Raw genomic sequence first — 18,729 nt, forward strand, 5'->3', positions numbered from 1 at the left:
GTAACTAGAATGCTGCTAAGATATTAAAGTACTTAGACATTTAAAAGACATGGTTATTTATATTTAATTTCAAAATGTATTTAAGTGAAAATTTGAAAAATATTTGAGATAAGCAGAACTTTCAGATTTTTTTTTCATTTTGTTAAAGGAAATATCCTACTTTCATGTATTTTGCAAAGATGTCACAATGATATTGACCATTATATTACCTGATGTCCATTAAAGGACAAAAAAAGACAAAAAGTAACTTTAATGTTTTTTCTTATCAAATAATAGGAGACATGTCTGCTCCTTACTCATCCTTCCTTTTTTTTTTTTGCATTGGCTGGCAGGAAATTAAATTTAGTATTCAGTTGAGGTAAATAACTTATCTCAGCCTAACTACAAGGACATACCTTTCACTATGCATTTTATTTGAATTTTAATTCAGTAACGTAAGTATTTAGTTATATTTGCTGTCTAAAATGCCTTTTAGATATTTGTAACAAATAAATTATAAGTAAACAAGTGACCTCTGAGATATAAATTTTTTACATCTTGCTATTTCCAAGTTACATTGCCTGTTCTTATTGAATAAACAGGTTGGCAGAATATTAAGAATATCAATGTTTACTTCTAAATACAGAAAAACATTGTAATGGTAGGCACAAACGCTTCTTAGAAGAAATTAAGAATGAATATAACTTAAGAAGAAAGGCTCTTTGTTATTTTTGAAGACTATCCTGGTTGACTTTACATTTAATGGGGAAGCAGAGGATGTTTGATATTTTTACCTCAACTTTTTTTCCTCCTCTTCCTTTTTGTAGAGAATACTCTTACTTGAAACCCTTTGTATTTGGTCCTCATTCTCTGCTTTCCGTGGCTTCCTACCTCGCCTATTTGTTCTATGGCCTGTGTGCCTCTTTCTTTTCTCTTTGTTAGTTCCTCACCCTTCTTCTCATTGTGTTCCCAAATATTTTCCCGAATTTTACAGATGAGAAAGCTGATACTCAGCGGCATTAAGTAGCTTGACAGAGTTTACACAGCTGCTAATTGGTCAAAACTGAGGTGAGAACTCTAATCCTCTCCCTCCTGGTACACTGCTCTTTCTAATGGCGTTACTTATAGTAGAACACGATGCTGATAGACTGTGATGTAGTTCTCGATGGCTTAAAGTGTATGTGTTTTTCTGTGTAAACTAGAACCCATGGGGCTGATGTTAAGCCAGTTCACACTGGTACAACTGCGCTAGTTTTAAAAATACTGAAATATTTCCACATTGGCTAATTGGTAGCTACTGTTAGGAGCCTCTCAGCTGTACCTCTTCCTTCTTTAGAGGCCTTTAGTGAATCCATCAGGAACCTCACAACTTGGTCCAGTGGCAATCAAAGAGAGGCATTTAGCTACCCATAGTTGGATAAGATGATTAGTGTAATACTTCATGTTTTTATAAAGAGCAACGCTCTCTAACATAATTATCTTTTTGGTCTGCTTTTTTCTCATGATAATAATGAGAGGGAAAATTTATTCTGCTCAAAGAATGATGATTTCAGGTTTTGCTGGTTTTTGTTTTTTAAAAACTTCATGTGGTGAAACGTGCCTGAACAGTATATGAGAATGTTATGATGCAGTATCAAGGTTTTCTAGCCCCTGTGTTCACTTAAAATTTTGCAAGTGTAGTTCCTTTTAGAGATCATTTAAACATTTTAATTCTGAAATAACTGAGTATCTATATATGTTTTGCAGATTTCAAGTATGGGATTACTATTGTTATATCTTTACTGTATTCTTGCTCTTTTTTTTAGTTATAGGGAATTGCACTGACTGATTTTCAAATGCTAAATCATCTATGCATTTTTTTGTGATAAACTTCACTTGGTCATGATGTATTATCCTTTTAATATATTATTGGATTGGAGTTGCTAAAATTTTATTTAGAATTTTTGCAGCCAGGCTCAGTGACTCACGCCTGTAATCCCAAAACTTTGTGAGGCCAAGGTGGGCGGATCACCTGAGGTCAGGAGTTTGAGACCAGCCTGACCATCATCATGGTGAAAGCACATCTCTACTAAAAATACAAAATTAGCCGGGCATGGTGGCGCATGCCTGTAATCCCAGCTACTCAGGAGGCTGAGGCAGGAAAATCGCTTGAACCCGGGAGGCAGAGGTTGCAGTGAGCCGAGATCGTGCCATTATACTCCAGCCTGGGCAACAAGAGCAAAACTCCATCTCAAAAAAAAACAAAAAACAACAACAAAAAAAGAATTTTACATCTATGTTCATGAAGGAGATTACTATTTTCTGTAGTTTTTTTGTAATATCTTTGTCAGGTTTTGATTATTAGAGTAATACCTCATTGGGGTTAGGTAGTATTACCTCCTCTTCATTTTTCTGGAGGAGCTGTGTAGAATTGGTATTATATTTTCTTTAATCATTTTATAGAATTTGCAAGTGAAGTCATCAGGCCTCGTATTTTCTCTGTGGGAAGGTGTTTTGCCAAATATTTAATGTCTATAACAGATATAGGGCTGTTACGGTTATTTATTTCTTCTTGAGTAAGCTTTGATAGGGTTTTTCAAAGAGTTTGTCCTCTTCAAGTTCTTCAATTCAATTGAAAAAAATTGTTTATAATATTACCTTATTATCTTCATAATATCTATAGAATTTGTAGTAATTAATGTCACCTTTGGATCTCCTTTTTTGCCAGTATTTTAAATAAGTGGACCCACTGTCTCCTTGCCTATACTGTTTCCTAAGAAATACTAGCTGTCATTCATATTTTGTCTCTTTGTGTGTGATTTTTCTTTTACTGTAAATTTGTAAAATAATTTCTCTTCAGTTTTGGTTTTGAGTATTTGATTATGGTGTATTTTGGTCAAGTTTTCTTTATGCTTCTTGTGCTTGGGGTTCGCTGAGATTTTTGGATGGGTGAGTTTATAGATTTCATTAAATTTAGATATCCTTCAAATATTTTTCCATCCCTTGCCTTTGGTGACTCCAGTTACGAATATATTAGACTGCCTAAAGCTATCCCAGGGCCCACTGACTTTTTATTATCTAATTTTCTATCTGTGCTTTCTTTTGGGTAATTTCCATTGCTATGCCTTCACATTTACTAATCTTTTCTTCTGCATTGTCTCCTCTGCCGTTTAGCCTATCCATTGTATATTTTAATCTCATATATTGTAGTTTTCACTCTAGAAGTTCAACTTCCATCTTTTTTATATCTTCTGTATTTCCACTTAACGTTTTAAACATGTAATTACAGTTTCAATAACTGTCTTAATATCTTTGTCTGCTATTAACATCTGTTTCAGTGCTGGATCATTTTCAATTCGTTGGCTTTTCTCCTCACTATGGGTCATATTTTTCTGCTTTTTAACAATCCTGATAATTTTTTTTGGAAACCAGTCATTGTGAGTTTTAACTTCTTGGGTGCTAGATATTTTCATACTCCTATGAATCTTAGTTTGTTTTGGGGTGCAGTTAAGTTACTTATAAACAGTTTTATCCTCTTGAGTGTTGTTTTTGAGATTTATCAGGACTAATGCAGTGTTTAGTTTTTGACTAATTATTTTCTAGTACTGATACAACACACTTCTGGATACTCTACTGAATACAGTTTCCATTATGAAGTTTTCTAGCATGGCTGGTAGGAACAGCATTCTTCCTGGCCTGTGTGAGTGCTGGTCGCTGTTAGCTTTAGGCCTCTCAGGTGGTACTTTCTCTTGCCTCAAATAGTTCCCATACATATATGTATTAATTTGCACTCTGCTGAATAGTTAATAGAGATCTTTTATAGATTTTTAGAGTTCTGTGCCTGTTCAGCCCTCTTGTCTCTGGTGCTCTATCCAGAAAACTCTAACTGCTTTATTGTCCCTGAAATCTCAGCTCTGTTTCCTCAAGTCTGGATGGATGTCCACCACGCTCCCCCGGACTCTCCCTCCCTATGCCATCATATAGAAATGCTCTCTTGGCAACAACTTTGCACAATCATAGAGCTCACCACCTTTGTTTCTCATCTCTCAGGATTGCTATCCTTTGATGGCTCAAGTCTAGAATCTTGAAAACCGTTGCTCAGCTTTTGGTTTTGTTCGCTTCAGGGTTTTAGTTGTTTCAGGCAGAAGGGTAAATTCAATTCCTGCTACTACAAGTTGAAGGCAGAACTTCCTTGACACTTCATGCAGAGTTGAAGTGGGAAGACTTTTAGACTTAACTACCAAAGTGTCCACTTCAGAGAGTAAAACTCAAGAGAATAAATCCTAGTATTTTTTCTATTGAATACACCTTTATATTTACTTTTTTCTTTTCAGAAAATAAAAACTTGCCTTTTTTTAAAAATTGGAAAAGTATACAAACCAAAAAAAAAAAAAAAAAACTACAGCTACACGAACACTTAAAGTTTTTAAAAATAAGATAATGAAATAGTATGATTGTGGGTAATTTAATAGATTGTGGAAGTGTTTTCCAAAGTCACATGAAAGTATGGGTACTTACCTTTAAGGATGATTTTACCAGGCCACAGAACAATGAGAATTAGGAAGTTTTTCACAAAACTAAATTTATTCAATTTAAAGGACTTTATTTTTTACTTTGTCATTCTTATTAGTGATAAAATTTTATGCTTAATTGAATTTTAATATGAAAGCTGATGAATCGTAAGAATTTTTTTTTAATATGATAGCTGATGGATTATAAGAGTTTTGTTTTTTTTCTTTTCATTCATTAACTGGCAAAAGTACAAGAGGGGGTGCATGCTATGTGGAGTCCCCATAACATTTTTGTACTCCAATAGTCTGGAAACAACTGTTTGTATACGCTCAAATACTTTACCCATTTTTATTCAAAGATTGATTACCTAAGACTATTCAGAGAAGTAATGTTTGTTTGTTTCTTTGTTTTGTTTTTGAGCATCTGCCCTGTACAACTCATAGAATCTTTAGGGACAATGGCACATGTCTGAATGGCTAACTTGTGTCATCTTTATATGTCCTTTTCTTTACACCATATAGAAGATATGGAAATCAATTATTTCATTAATACTTAAAAGCACTATTTGGAGATGTATTTTTAATTTTCATTGTTTCCTAATATTATTTCTTTCTATTGTATGACAAGGAAACAGGAATTGATTTGGTTCCTGCCCTCTTTGTCATGAACATATGACCAATGAGAAAAAATGCCTTTTTAACTATGATATTAATAATAAATATGTGTCAATTATTGATGTATTAAGTGTATCATTCAGTACTTATAGAAATTATTTGAAGTAGCCACAATTATTATTCTTTTACAAATGAAGAAATTGAGGCTTAAAGAGTTAAGTAACTGCTCAAGGTTTCACAGCAAATGTAAAGCCATATATGAGACCCCCGTTTGAGTCAGGCAAAGACTGTGCTCCATCTACTGCCTCCAAGTGAGAAGATAAGTTTTAGTGTTTTCCACTAAGCATTTCCTGGCAGTATTTCTCTCCAGACGCTATTCACAATCTCCAAAGAGGAGAAACGACTCTATTCTATGCACAATTTATTACTCCGGTTATTATACAGAACTCTTTATTTAAAGGGGAGAATGATAAATTACACTCTTGTTGAAATAAGCCTTGTAGACCTTTGAAGAGGGTTGGAAACCAAAGGAAACAGACATTCCAGAAGTGTGACCCATTTTTTTTTTAATAAATCTTTTCTTTTGCTTAAGATCTCCTAAAATATTTCCATTTTTATAAAAGCCTTCTGGTTTCTTTGTGAAAATAGCTGCAAGGATATGTCACTGGGTAGGTTCATTAAAAATTACAAGCATACACCATTACTATGAAAAGCTCCTATAGCCTGTTTCCTGCACATTGGGAAGAGTGCAGCTTTCCAGCGATGGTAGCCCATGAATCTCGGAGGCCTGCACCTGCAGATTACAGACTCAGGTACAGGCACTATGAGAATAGCCCCTGTTTTGTAAAAACAAAAAGCTCTGCTAGTCTATAGAAATTGTTGGGAAAGAGAAGCGGACCTGTGTGAGATAAACAAAACTCATAAACCACTGAGATTAGATAAATTGTTAGAGTTGTTTGGAAGGCCAGGCAGGAACAAACATTGTCTTCCTAAATGTAGTTTTCCTGCACTTGGGACAAGCGTACTATCTGATTACCCCAGATGATTTATTTATCCTTCTAGACTGTTGACATGAAGTCTGCATTTCAGGCCTAGGAATAGGTGTACTTTCTGCAGTTATTTTGTTTGCAGAAATCACTGACTTCTCTCATGTTACTTTTTGTGATTGCTAGAGGTAACGATATCAAAGTTCAATGTGCTCAGCTTGTCTGTAATAGTAAAATCTTAGTAAATCACTCTAGGTTTGAAGGATAGGCCCTGGTATAATAATATAACAATAAACAGAGTTCCTGTTCTCTTTATGGTTTTAGTTACAGCATTGTATCAGTGATACTTCAGTTTCTTCTTGATAAAGATTTTTCATATTTAAAACTCATAAAATTCATGCTGCAGGGTAAGTAAAGTCTTCTGAAAGCATACATTCATTTACTTGTTTATTCACTGACTCCATAAATTTTTATTAAGTACCCAATTTCTGGCAGACATTCTTGTGGATCATGCAGACTCAGTGGTGAGAAGAAAAATAATATCCCTGATCTTACAGAACTCATTTTTTAATTGGGGGAGGGGCTTAAATAAAAGGTGAATAAACCAAACAAGAAAATATCAGGTAGTGATACTACCCAGAAGAAAGTAAAACAAAATGAAGCAATTAAGTGTGCTTGGACACCTGCTTTAGATTGTGTGGTCAAGGATGGCCCCTCCAAGGACTAGCGTGTAAGCTGATACTTGAATGAGAAACAGGCTGCCATGCAAAGATCTGCTGGAAGAACATTCCAGGCAGAAGTAACAGCTCATGCAAAGATATAGCATAATGAGGGCATGCCTAGACATGCATCATAATGCCTTACCTTGTACCTTGATTTGCTTTCATTTTTACCATTTAAAATTCTGCTTCTGTACTATGTCCTACCTCCCCTTACCCTTCATTATCCTTAAAATTGTGTATTCTTAATGAAAACTATATTGTTAGGTGACCATAGAAATATTGTTATTTTAGATAGTTGATTCTGTAGTGTTTTCAAGAAATTATTTCATATTTAGAATAATTTTGCAAAGTGAGTTAGTTTAAAAGTAGTTCTTTAAGAAACAGGTAAATTTCAAAACACTTCTTTCCAAAATCTTTTATCTCAAAACTTGCATTAAAATGAGAAAATATGACATCTCTTAAAAACAGAAAAAAGGAAGGAAGGGGGAAGGGAGGGAGGGATGGAAGGAGAAAGGGAGGGAGGGAAGAAAAGAAGGAAGGAAAGGAAAGGAAGGAAAGGGAAAGAGAAAAGGGAGAAAGAGAAAGAAAGAAAGAATGAAAAAATGAAAAGAAAGAAAAGGAAAAGGAAGAAAAGAAAGAAATAGAATAAAACAGAAAGAACACAATTATTTTTATGTCTGGAAAGATACAGGGAACTTTTTCCCAAATGAGGTAACTTTGAAGCTGGGAGACAGATTCACACGTTCATAAAGTGAAACTTCCAGGGCATAATTTCCTAAATTATTTCTTTCACTGCCCTCTTGGTAGCTCAGTGTCACGGATGAGTGAGTTTACCTCACAAGTAAGCATTTAGCTCCCCCAAAACAGTCTCTTAACCTTAGCTCACCACGTGATTAGACTCAGGGTGAATGCACAAGATTAATGAGAGCCCTGAGTGAAAACAGTCTCTTGTAAGGACAGCACTAAATCTTGAAAGGCTGGTGGTTATTGTTTGTGGAAGCTGAGCCCTGGACTAATCCCAGAAGGGATCATGGTGGTGGTGACTCCTAATCTGGGTATATCTTTCGGGCTTGATCATGTTTTTCTGTGACTGCCATTGTGTGTCTGTTGGAATCTATTTTTAGGAGCCACTGCATATCCTTGTGTTTTCTTGCTGTGCCTAAATGTAGATCCTTCTATTCTACTTTTACTCCATTTATTTTCCAGATGATATAAAGAGGACATATTCTCACATCTGGAAGTTAATGCCTTGGTTCTAGTTTATTCTCCCTCCAAGCACACTAAAGACTTTTTCATTTCCTAGCATCGGTCTTCTAGTGGCCAATAAAATGGCAAGAAAAGAGTTGGGAAATTCTTCCCTTTCTCCTCAGTTTCCCCTTATTTTGTTGCTTCATTTAATCCTATTCTATTTCAGTAAAGGAAACACGGTCTAGTTATTGCAAGGGAGAAAGACTAGAAAGGAGAAGATATTGGCAACTAGCAATCAGCCAAGCAATAGCAACAAGAGATTCAATATTGTCAGGTGAGGTAGCCTGGTTGGAGAATGCATATGCCAATTACAAATCGATCATAAACAAATACTTATACGCATGCAGAAAATCCTAATCTATTCCACTTTGCCCAGTTTCTGTCCATGGACTAATAGTGGTGGTCTCTAAAGAGCACTCTATTAGGCAAGAATGAGGCATTGATTTTATAAAACAGAATCTTCAAAGGAGGGGGAAGCCAGGCCTGTGGGGAAAGAAAGCAGAAGTCTGGCAATAGGTCATGGGAAAGGAAGGAATCACTGTGGGGTTTGGACTTGGAGAGAAAAAGTAGCAGCAGGTCACAGGCCAACCTGTCATTAGCTTTAAGACACACACACGCGCACACACACACACACACACACACACACACACACACAGCCACTGCTTACCTCAGAATGGATTGGGTTAAAGGTTATTTTTTTCCCCTCTCAAGACTGGTTTCCTATCTTAAGTTTATGTTAATAATTTTACTGCTTCTTTACAGTCCTAAGTTTGCATATGGAGAGGTTAGGTCTCAAAACTTTCAATCTCATAGTCCAAGGTATGCCCTTAAAGTGTAATGTGGAAAGGGTTCTCTTTGGCTACACATGCATCAGTTTTCTATCAAAAGTTATTTTATAGCAGACTGCTATTGGGTAATTGAGATGCACTTTACTAAAAATATAACAGGTTTAAACTAGTGGATTTTATTAATACTTGTTTTTGTTTTTACAGTCCAATTACCTAGAACACTATGGTTTATTCAGAACAGGTATCTTTTGTTTTTATTTCAAAAAGTACATTGATTATTTTTATGAATGTTTAAAATTTAACAGCTTTCTATGCTTTTGCAGAGTGAAAATTTCAACAAATAATTTTTTATTTGCTGTGATTCTTTTGTAACCATAGATATTTTTTATTTAAGCGAGGCTATGTATATAGTTTAAGACTTTGAGAAAATCAGTAAACCTAATTTATTTCTTTGACAATATTAAAAGAGCTTAGTTTCTGGTATTAGAAATACCATCAAGACAGGGCTTTATTCATAAAATATTACAAGATGCTTAAAGCAGTGGCTTAAAAGAATAGATTTAACGAAGCACTATTTTCATTTTCTATAGGTCTGTAAAATATTATCCCCACAACATAGTGACATAAAACACAACTAATTATTTGCTCATGGTTCTGCATTTTGGACAGTATTTACCAGAATGGTGGTCTCTGCTCTCATGGCATTTAGTGGAGGCTTGGGCTGACAGGCCTAAGGTGGCCTTTCATTCTTCAGGGCCATTCCCCACATGGCCTCCTAGCATTTGTAGTCCCAAGCTCTTTACATGGAGAATGGATCCCAAGAGAGCAAAAGTAGAAAGTGCCAGGCCTCTTATAGGCTAGATCTGTTTAAAGGCTTGGCTCAGAGTGGGCACAGTACCACTTATATTGCATTATATGGGCCAAAGCAAGTCACAGTGCCAGACCAGATTCACAGCAAGGGAAAGTGGACTTCACAGTTTTTTGGGATGAATTGTTCACATTTATAAGGAGGGAAGGAACTGTTGGCTGCCATATTTGGAGACTCTAGCCCAACCTTTTAACAAATATTTTGAATAGAAGGAGAAACCTTCTTAATTATGAAGGTAGTTTTGATACATATCACCTATAAATATGCAGTAATTTTATATTCACTCCTAATCTTGTAATATGAGTTTGTTTCCTTGATTTGGAGCTATGACATTCCACGTTACTGATCTTTAGTCTGACAAAAAAGAGCTTGACTTCTCATTCAAGTCAATTTCCAAATGTTTACTGTTACACACTTGGCAATCAACTGAGTTATTTTTGAAAACATCCCCTTCACCAGTGTAGTGAAAAGAATATAGAGGCAAACAGATTTAGGTTCAAATACCAATCCTGCATCTTACTGACTGTGGACATTTGGGCAAGTTATTTTAAATGTTGGGGAGTAATTTTACTCATTTGTATAATGAAAATAATTATACCTACTTCATCAGGATGCTATGAAGATGAAATAAAATAATTATAGGACAGTCACTGGACACTATACTGGAGGGCTCATTTTTCACAGTTCTTTATTTTTACTTTATATAATGACAACAGTGCTCAGAAGTGGAAGTCATGTAGTAGTATTTTTGTTTGCCTTTATGGCTATTATGTGATTATATGACTTTTACAACAAAAAAATCTAATGAGATATTCTTCTTCTATTAGGTTTTAATAATTAAAATAGGCTGGGCGCAGTGGCTCATGCCTGTAATCCCAACATTTTGGGTGGCTGAGGCAGACAGATCACCTGAGGTCAGGAGTTTGAGGCCAGCCAGGCCAACCTGGTGAAACCCTGTCTCTACTAAAAATGCAAAAAAATCAGCTGGGCGTGATGGCACGTGCCCAGCTACTCTGGAGGCTGAGGGAGGAGAATCACTTGAATCCAGACAGTGGAGTTTGCAGTGAGCCAAGATATCACCACTGCACTCCAGCCTGGGCAACAGAGCGAGACTATATCTCAATTAAATAATAATAATTAAAATAATAGTAATAAGAATATGTTTTATGATTTCCTAGTTCAGAATATTCTATTATTGTATATTCAAATTGCACATTACTGATGTGTTTTGTGTCAAAGATATTTGTGGGTTACCTAGGAGAGGTATATGAAAATATTTTTATTATTAATTTTAATCTTGAGGTGTAGTACACCAATTTTTTTCTTGTCATAAAATAGCATGCAGCAAGTTGAACCTTGGCTTTTTCTGAAGTTAATTGGACAGAATTTGCAGACAGCTTGCAGGATTGTGTCCAAGTAGATTTTAAAATTTCAGAAAAATGCAAAATTATCATTAACAAAATTATTATCGCAGACAATTTCATCCAAGTAGATATAGAAATAGTTGTAAAATGCCAGTTTGCATCTGAGATGTATCACAATGACACTGTTTTCATAGTTGAATAAGAAATAAGACTATTCAACAAGTACTCATGTCACCATGAAAGAGAAAAATGCAGAGCTGAAGGTGGCATGACACATTTTCCCATTCACAGCTGAGTGGGCAGGTGACGCGTGTTAGGGAGAGAGCTGCTATCTGATATTCCACTGATGAAGCTTGTCAACTAAATTGTATTTGGAGTTTTCAAAATATCAGAGTGGATGAAGTCTTTGGCATATTTTAACATTTAACTAAGTCTTACACATGGCTCCAGAGGAGGATCTTCCTTCGCCAGTTAATACTAAATTACCAGTGCTTTGGCAGGAAGCAGAAAGTGCCATGTGGGTAGTGGATTCTGGAGAGTTAGCATTGAAATACTCACTGTACATTACATTTATAGAAAAGATTGAGAGGAAATTTCTTCCTAGCAGGCTTCGTGCAAGGTTTGGGCCCTTTCTAGAACGAACTGCAAGTCCCTTTAACAATATCCCTGTGATCTATGCATATAGGTGAGATCATCATATGTCTTAGAACAGGTTTGTTTTGTCCTTCAGAAATTATACCCCTTGTGATCAAGTCCAGCCTGCCTTTTGCCAAGCCAGAAGATATTTTTTAACTTTGGGAGGACACAACAGAAGAGAGATTTGTTTTCACTTTGGACATGACTGAGTAGTTGCAGGCTCTCAGTGGGGAATAGACTCTTCATAACATTAGCACAGTGATATACGGACACACAATTGCGGAAATGCAGATGCAGTGTTTTCATTTGATTTTTGGTATAGTGTTTCTTCTGAATAAATCAAGCATAATTATGAGCCACATGTGACTAAATCAGATAGAGTAATTCCAGGGAATTGGTTGATATATATCAAGAGCTTTAGGAGAGAAATGTTCGTGGTTTATGTTTATTATTTTTTGTTCATAGCAATCTCTGAAAGCAGCTGCTATGCAAGTCATTTGTCATTCTTTTCCACTAAGTGCCAGTTTGCCAAGTGAGCTTTCATGTAAGTGGCGGCGTTTATGCAAATGCTAATGCAGTTTTTAATCTTAGAAGCAAAGAACCTGAATATTTTGCTAACATACAATAACAATGATACTTAATATTAAATAGCAGCTTTTATCCAGGGATAGCTATATAATTTACAATTGAATTGGCGCAAATTATTTACATACATTGAGGGCATTGGGTTACCATATTTAGATCATAGTTTATCTGATGTATGAACACACTGAAAGGAAATGTGAAATTTGTATTCAGCATCTTCAAAGAGTAGAAAATGACTACCTCAGGCATCTAATAGCCAAAAAGTTTAGTCACACTCATACACACCATCTTGAAATTGCTTTTATTTACCACTCTCATCCTTGTTTCAAGTCTAGTTTTATACTTTATGAATCTGCAAATGATTGCCTTTATTGAAAGGTTTGTGTTATTCAAGATGACTTGTAAAGTTTACTCAATCTTCCCTAGCAAGGGAAACAGGAAATTCCAGAGAACACTAGACTCAGCAAACCTATAAAATCTGAGAAAGCAGACCATTATTTCTGGAGACATTTCACATAACACTTTGGGAAGCAATGACTAATTAGTTTTTGGTCTTAACAATAGCACTTTCAGGGGCTGTTTTCTTTCTTTTTTTTTCTTTTTATAGCTTTCATATTAGGAAAAGAAGAAAGTAGCTCTGAATGATGAAATATTGGCAATGTATGCACTTGCTTCTCTGTAGGAGCTCAACTCTTTGATCCTTCATACAATTAACTTCATTGCCTAGCTGGTATTAACCGGCTGGAGAGTAACAACCAATTGTTGCAGGCACAACAACACCCTAATATGCTTTGCCTTTAATGACTGACTGTTTCAAATTGAAAGCTCTGTTCTCTCTATTCCTAAATTCCTGTTGAAGTAAGTTAAGTCCTTAAATAAGTATAGGTACTCATTCACACCTACAGCCTTATCTTTTTTGTGGCACCTTACCCAGTCCCCAATTGCCAGAGAATACTTGGTCATTAGCAGGGGTAAGATGTATTCTGGGTTCTCTAGACGTAAACATTTGAATGTTAGGTCTCCTTGCTTGCTTTTATTTCTTTATTTTTTTTTTACCTCCTTACTTATTTAGTCATTCATTCATTTTAGAATTTGACTTCCATATGTCTAAACACAAGCAGCCTCCCTTGACTCCTCTTCCCTCTCCCAATCCACAATCAATCTATCTTTGAATCCTATCTGCTCCACCTCTACCATAATCCTGCTGATCCTGGCCTCCACCATGGCTCTTGGATTATTACAGTAACCTTCTCATTGATCTCCTTGGTTTTGTCCTTAATCCCCTTCCCCTCCACCTCTCATCGCCCACCCTGGACACAGTTTCTTTCTTCTTCTTTTTTTTTTTTTAAATATTTTCTTTTATTGTGGCAAGAACACTTAAGAGGGTGAGACCCACCCTCTTAACAGATTTTTAAATGTATAATACTGTATTGTTATCTGTAGGAATAATGTTGTACAGCAGCTCTTTTAGAAATTATTCACCGTGCATAACTGAAATTTTATACCCATTGATTAGCAACTCCCCATGCTCTCCCCTAGATCCTGGAATCACTATTCTGTTCTTTGCTTTTGTGAGTTTGACTGTTTTAGTTACCTCATGTAAGTGGAATCATGCAGTATGTGTCCTTCTGTGACTAGTTTATTTCACTTAGCATAATGTCCTCAAGTTCCATTCATTTTGTCGCATATGGCAGGACTTCCATTTTTTTAAGGCTGAATAATATTCCTTTTATATGTATACCACATTTTAAAAATGTACATTCATCTGTCAGTGTACATTTATATTTTCAATTTTTTTATAAATACTCTAAGTGGGATTGCTGGATTGTATGATAGTTTTAATTTTAACTTTTTGAGGAACCTCTACCGTTTTTCATAGCAGTTGCACCATTTTGTATTTCCACTAACAGTGTGCAACAAACTGAAAAGCTTCTACACAGCAAAGGAAATAATCAACAGAGTGAAAAGGCAACCTAGAAAAATGGAAGAAAATATTTGTAAACTAAGCTAAACATCTAATAAATGGTTAATTTCCAAAATTACAATGCAACAGTAAGAAAATTAATAATCTCATTTAAAAATGGGCTAAAGGTTTGCAGGGATATTTCTCCAAAGAAGACATACACATGACCAACAGGTATATGAAAAGATGCTCTATGTCACTAATCATCAGGGGAATGCAAGTTAAAACCACAGTGAAATATCACTTTATACCTGTTAGGATGGCTAACCTCAAAACAAACAAACAAAAACAAAAGAGAACTGTTGACAAGGATGTGGAGACATTGGAGCCCTGGTTTATCCTAAACCCAGCAGCCCCAGTGAGCTTTTAGAAGTCATACCATGTCTCTTCTCTGCTCAGAACCCTCCAGTAGCTTCCCATCTGCCTCAGAGTAAAAGCAAAAATGCTTTCCAGGGCCCACCAGAATCTGTGGCTCCCCTCACTCTGATTCATCTCCTACCACTCTTTCCTACCATGCTGGCCTTGCTGCACCATCCACATGCTGAGCACACACCACATTGGTGCCTTTGCATTTGCTGATCCCAGTGCTTAGAGAGTTCATCTCCAGATATCTGTGTAGCTCCTCGCCTCACGTCTTCAGATCTGTGCTCAATTGTCACCTTCTCAGAGAAGTTTTTCAGATCACCCTGTAGAAAATAGCAATCCTACCCACCTCCAACCTACGGCACCCTCCTTTTCCCCTTACCCTGCTTTCTCCACAGTCCTTATCACCAACTAGCAAGGCTTGTTGTTTTGTTACTTGCAATCGATCTCCCCCATTAGAACATACAGTTCACAGAGGCAGAGAATTTGTTTTGGAACTGCTGTATTCCTAGCGCCTAGACCAAATGTCTACCATGATATGAATTAGGAGTTCAACAAATCCCTACTTCATACTAGTTGAATGAAAAAATTAAATAATAAGTGAGTAGGAATTAATGCCTCTACTTTCTTCTCATGTTCTTTCTTTTATCTTACCCTCCCCACTGCCACCTTTCTACATTGTGCCAAGTTCTCATGTCTCAAGAATGTGGTGTTTTGTTCCTTGTTAGCTGTAAATGTAATACTCCTTCACCCATTTTTATAGAAAAGTTAACTTTCCCCTGGATGCTTGGGCTTCATCATTTAATGTCCTCAATTGCAGATGGCTATCCATAAGTTTGACTCTGTGTGTGTGTATTTGTGTGTGTGTGTGTCTGTGTGTGTGTGTGTGTATGTATTTTAAACTTGTCTTTACCTTTTAGTGTTTGCAGTAAAAACAAAGGAGATTATAGATTACGTGTTTTTGGTAAAATTTTTTCATGTTGTTGCAAGTCATTCAAGAATGAATGCAAAGCATAAAGTTTAAACTTGGAGAGGCAGAAATTCAAAATTTCTTTGAAACGAATCATCGAATTCCTATGCTATTTAGATACACTTCCATTGAGTAGAGAGCTGACAAAGAATACACATTTTTCTCAGTGGACTGAATTCTTCTTTAAATTAATTTGTCAGTATTTGATTGAAATACTAAAGCAATTCATTTCAGTTACATTCAACCAGCATTGCCTAAGGGACTACAATGTAAACTAATGTTAATAATTTATAAATACCACTTGGGTGTCAAGAACTCTTACAGGCATTTCATACATTAGGTATTTAATATTTGAAATTTATAATAGTTCTATAAGATAAAGAATATCATCCTTTTTTGATATTAGGACTTTGAGGCTTCCAAGAGGTTAGTTTGCCAAAATATACAAAGTACGCAAAGCCAGGAATGCCAAAGCTTGGAAATTGACCCAATTTGAATTTATAGCTTGAACTTGTTCTCCTAGACTAGTGTTTTTCAAACTGTGGACCACAACCTACAGTAATTGAATGATTTTTTTTGGCGATGGTGTCTTGCTCTATTGCCCAGGCTGGAGTGCATTAGCAAAATTATAGCTCACTACAGCCTCAAACTCCTGGGCCGAAGTGATCCTCCCACCTCAGTCTCCTGAGTAGATGGGACCACAAGTACGTGCTACAACACCTGGCTAATTTTTTAATTTTTTGTAGAGATAGAGTCTTGCTATATTGTCCAGGCTGGTGTCAAACTCCTGGCTTCAAGTGATTTTCCATCCTTGGCCTCCCAAAGTGCTAGGATTATAGGTGTGAGTCATTGTTCCTCACCTCAAATTCTAAATTATAATTATCTACACACATACAAATAATTGAAGCGAAAGTTTCATTAAGTAAAACCCTCACCAGGCTGGGCATGGTGGTTCATACCTGTAATCCCTGCACTTTGTGAGGCCAAGATGGGTAGATTGCTTGTGGCCAGTAGTTGGAGACCAGCCTGGCCAACATGGCTAAACCCTGTCTTTACTAAAATACAAAAAAAAAAAATAGTCAGATGTGGCAGCACATGCCTGTAATCCCAGCTACTTGGGAAGCTGAGGCATGAGAATCACTTAAACCCGGGAGGTGGAGGTTGCGGTGAGCTGAGATTGTGCCAGTGCCCTCCATCCTGGACAACAGAGTGAGACTATCTAAACAAACCAAACCAAACCAAACAAAACAAAACTAAACCTTACCCTATGTAACACACTGATATTTTCTATTCTGTTCCAGACTAATCTCATCTAGCCTACACTTGCCATGCCTTGCATTGCTTATCCTATCTTGTCCTGTCCTGTCCTGTCCTGTCCTGTCCTGTCCTGTCCTGTCCTGTCCAGTCCAGTCCTGTCCCATTCCTACTCAGCCCATCCCATCTCAGAACCCACTAAATTGGCCTTGTGATGCACCTACTGTTCCATACAGTTTCTATATGCTTGAAACACTGTGGATACAAAATAGGAAAAAATTAAATAGTAAGGAACTTACAGATAAATGAAAATTAATCGTTAGATATGGTAATGATGCGAAATAATATATTAAATGTTAAAGCCCTTTGACTCTTTTACTTCTATCAGGGCCTGAAAATAGGAGATATTCCTTGAATCACTCCTCTCAGATACTTTCAAGGGTCCCGGCCTGATGAAGTCATGAGAACTAGGGAAACGACTGCCATAATGTAGTCACATCATGCCTGTGTAACTTTTCCATTTATTTTTTCTTCGTCCGTGACATGAATTTTGATACCAACCAAAATCTGTTATACTTTAATTTTACAGGGGTTTAATGCATGTGTATTATTTCCCCAACAACCCTGAGGACTTCAATTCAAGGAATAGCCAAATAAGATAGCTGTAAATGAGAGGGCTCCCAGGCAATACATCATTCCTGATGCAAATATCATTGCTACTAACATTATTATTATCCTATTATACCCCCATGATGCCTTAAAAAGTAAATATTAGATAAATACATACTGGATTGATGAATGAGGGACTTATATGCTACTTTCAATAAATACGTAAAATACGATTGTGGGTATGACTGTGAATTTCATATCAATTCCTTCAGACTCAAACATTAATTTTTTTGTCTATTGTAAGAAAAATCACGAAGTCAGTTTATTCAGCATTTATTGAGAACTTGGTATCTGTAGAAAGAACACTGTGTTGAGTACTATTTTCATTGCCTACATGAGAAAGTCAGAATTCCAGAATGTGTCCTTTTTACCTCTTCAAACGCATCTTCTGCACCTTCCTCCTCACATCCTTCTGGGCAAGTACTGGTTGAAGTGTCCTGAATAAAACAGGTATCCATGCCTTTGTGCCTTAGCCCAGCTGTTTAGCCCTATTTGTCTGACAAATTCAATCATGGCTTTCAAAATCTCTATCAATCAAATGTTGCTTTCTTCCTCCAAGTTAAGAGTTGCACCTCCATCCACCTATCCATCTATCCACTCAACAAATGCTTATTAAGTACCTACTACGCTCCAGCTCTGAACTGATTGGGAAGCTCTGAACTATCTGCCATTGGGAAGCATTTCTTTTTAGCTCTGGGTACCCACTGGCAGCTCTCCCATTCCATCCATTACCTGTCTGTTTCTTCTAATAGATTGTGAACTCTTATGAGGACATGTATTTTAACATATTTACCTTTGGATTTTTAGAGCCTAGTATGAGGGTCTTGCACATGGTAGACAGTCAACAAATGTTGAATTAATGAATGGAGAAACATTAAATAAAAATGGACATAGATTTCTCATCACATTCCTCATGATTGTAGCTATTCCTATTCCTTCAGATTCTGGGCCTTTGTTAAAGCATTCTCATGCACTGATATTTGCATCTTCCCCTATAATTGGGAATAGTGCTACTGTCTACCTACTGAACACTGTTGAAAATTTGAATGTTCATTTTGCATGCTTGAAATACCAGTGGAAGGCCGGGCGCTGTGGCTCACGCCTGTAATCCCGTCACTTTGGGAGGCCGAGGTGGGCGGATCACGAGGTCAGGAGATAGAGACCATCCTGGCTAACATGGTGAAACCCCGTCTCTACTAAACAAAAATACAAAAAATTAGCTGGGCATG

At 36.4% G+C, this 18,729-nt stretch overlaps 1 protein-coding gene across 8 annotated transcripts in view, besides 1 other annotated feature; it reads left to right on the top strand.

Annotated features, from left to right (window-relative positions):
• The window catches only part of HDAC9 (histone deacetylase 9), a 915,592-nt gene that overhangs the window by 327,261 nt on the left and 569,602 nt on the right, over positions 1-18,729 (top strand). The gene's annotated exons all lie outside the window — the stretch shown is intronic.
• Positions 6,201-7,400: an enhancer, noted in NCBI's record as "MED14-independent group 3 enhancer chr7:18459909-18461108 (GRCh37/hg19 assembly coordinates)". NCBI's record gives its function as "activates an origin of replication core promoter dependent on BRD2, BRD4, P300/CBP and CDK7 cofactors, and independent of MED14, by STARR-seq in HCT116 cells {active_cell/tissue: HCT116}" and the evidence as "EXISTENCE:reporter gene assay evidence [ECO:0000049][PMID:35650434]".

Source organism: Homo sapiens, chromosome 7 (assembly GCF_000001405.40).
Source record: "Homo sapiens chromosome 7, GRCh38.p14 Primary Assembly".
Lineage (NCBI taxonomy): Eukaryota > Metazoa > Chordata > Mammalia > Primates > Hominidae > Homo > Homo sapiens.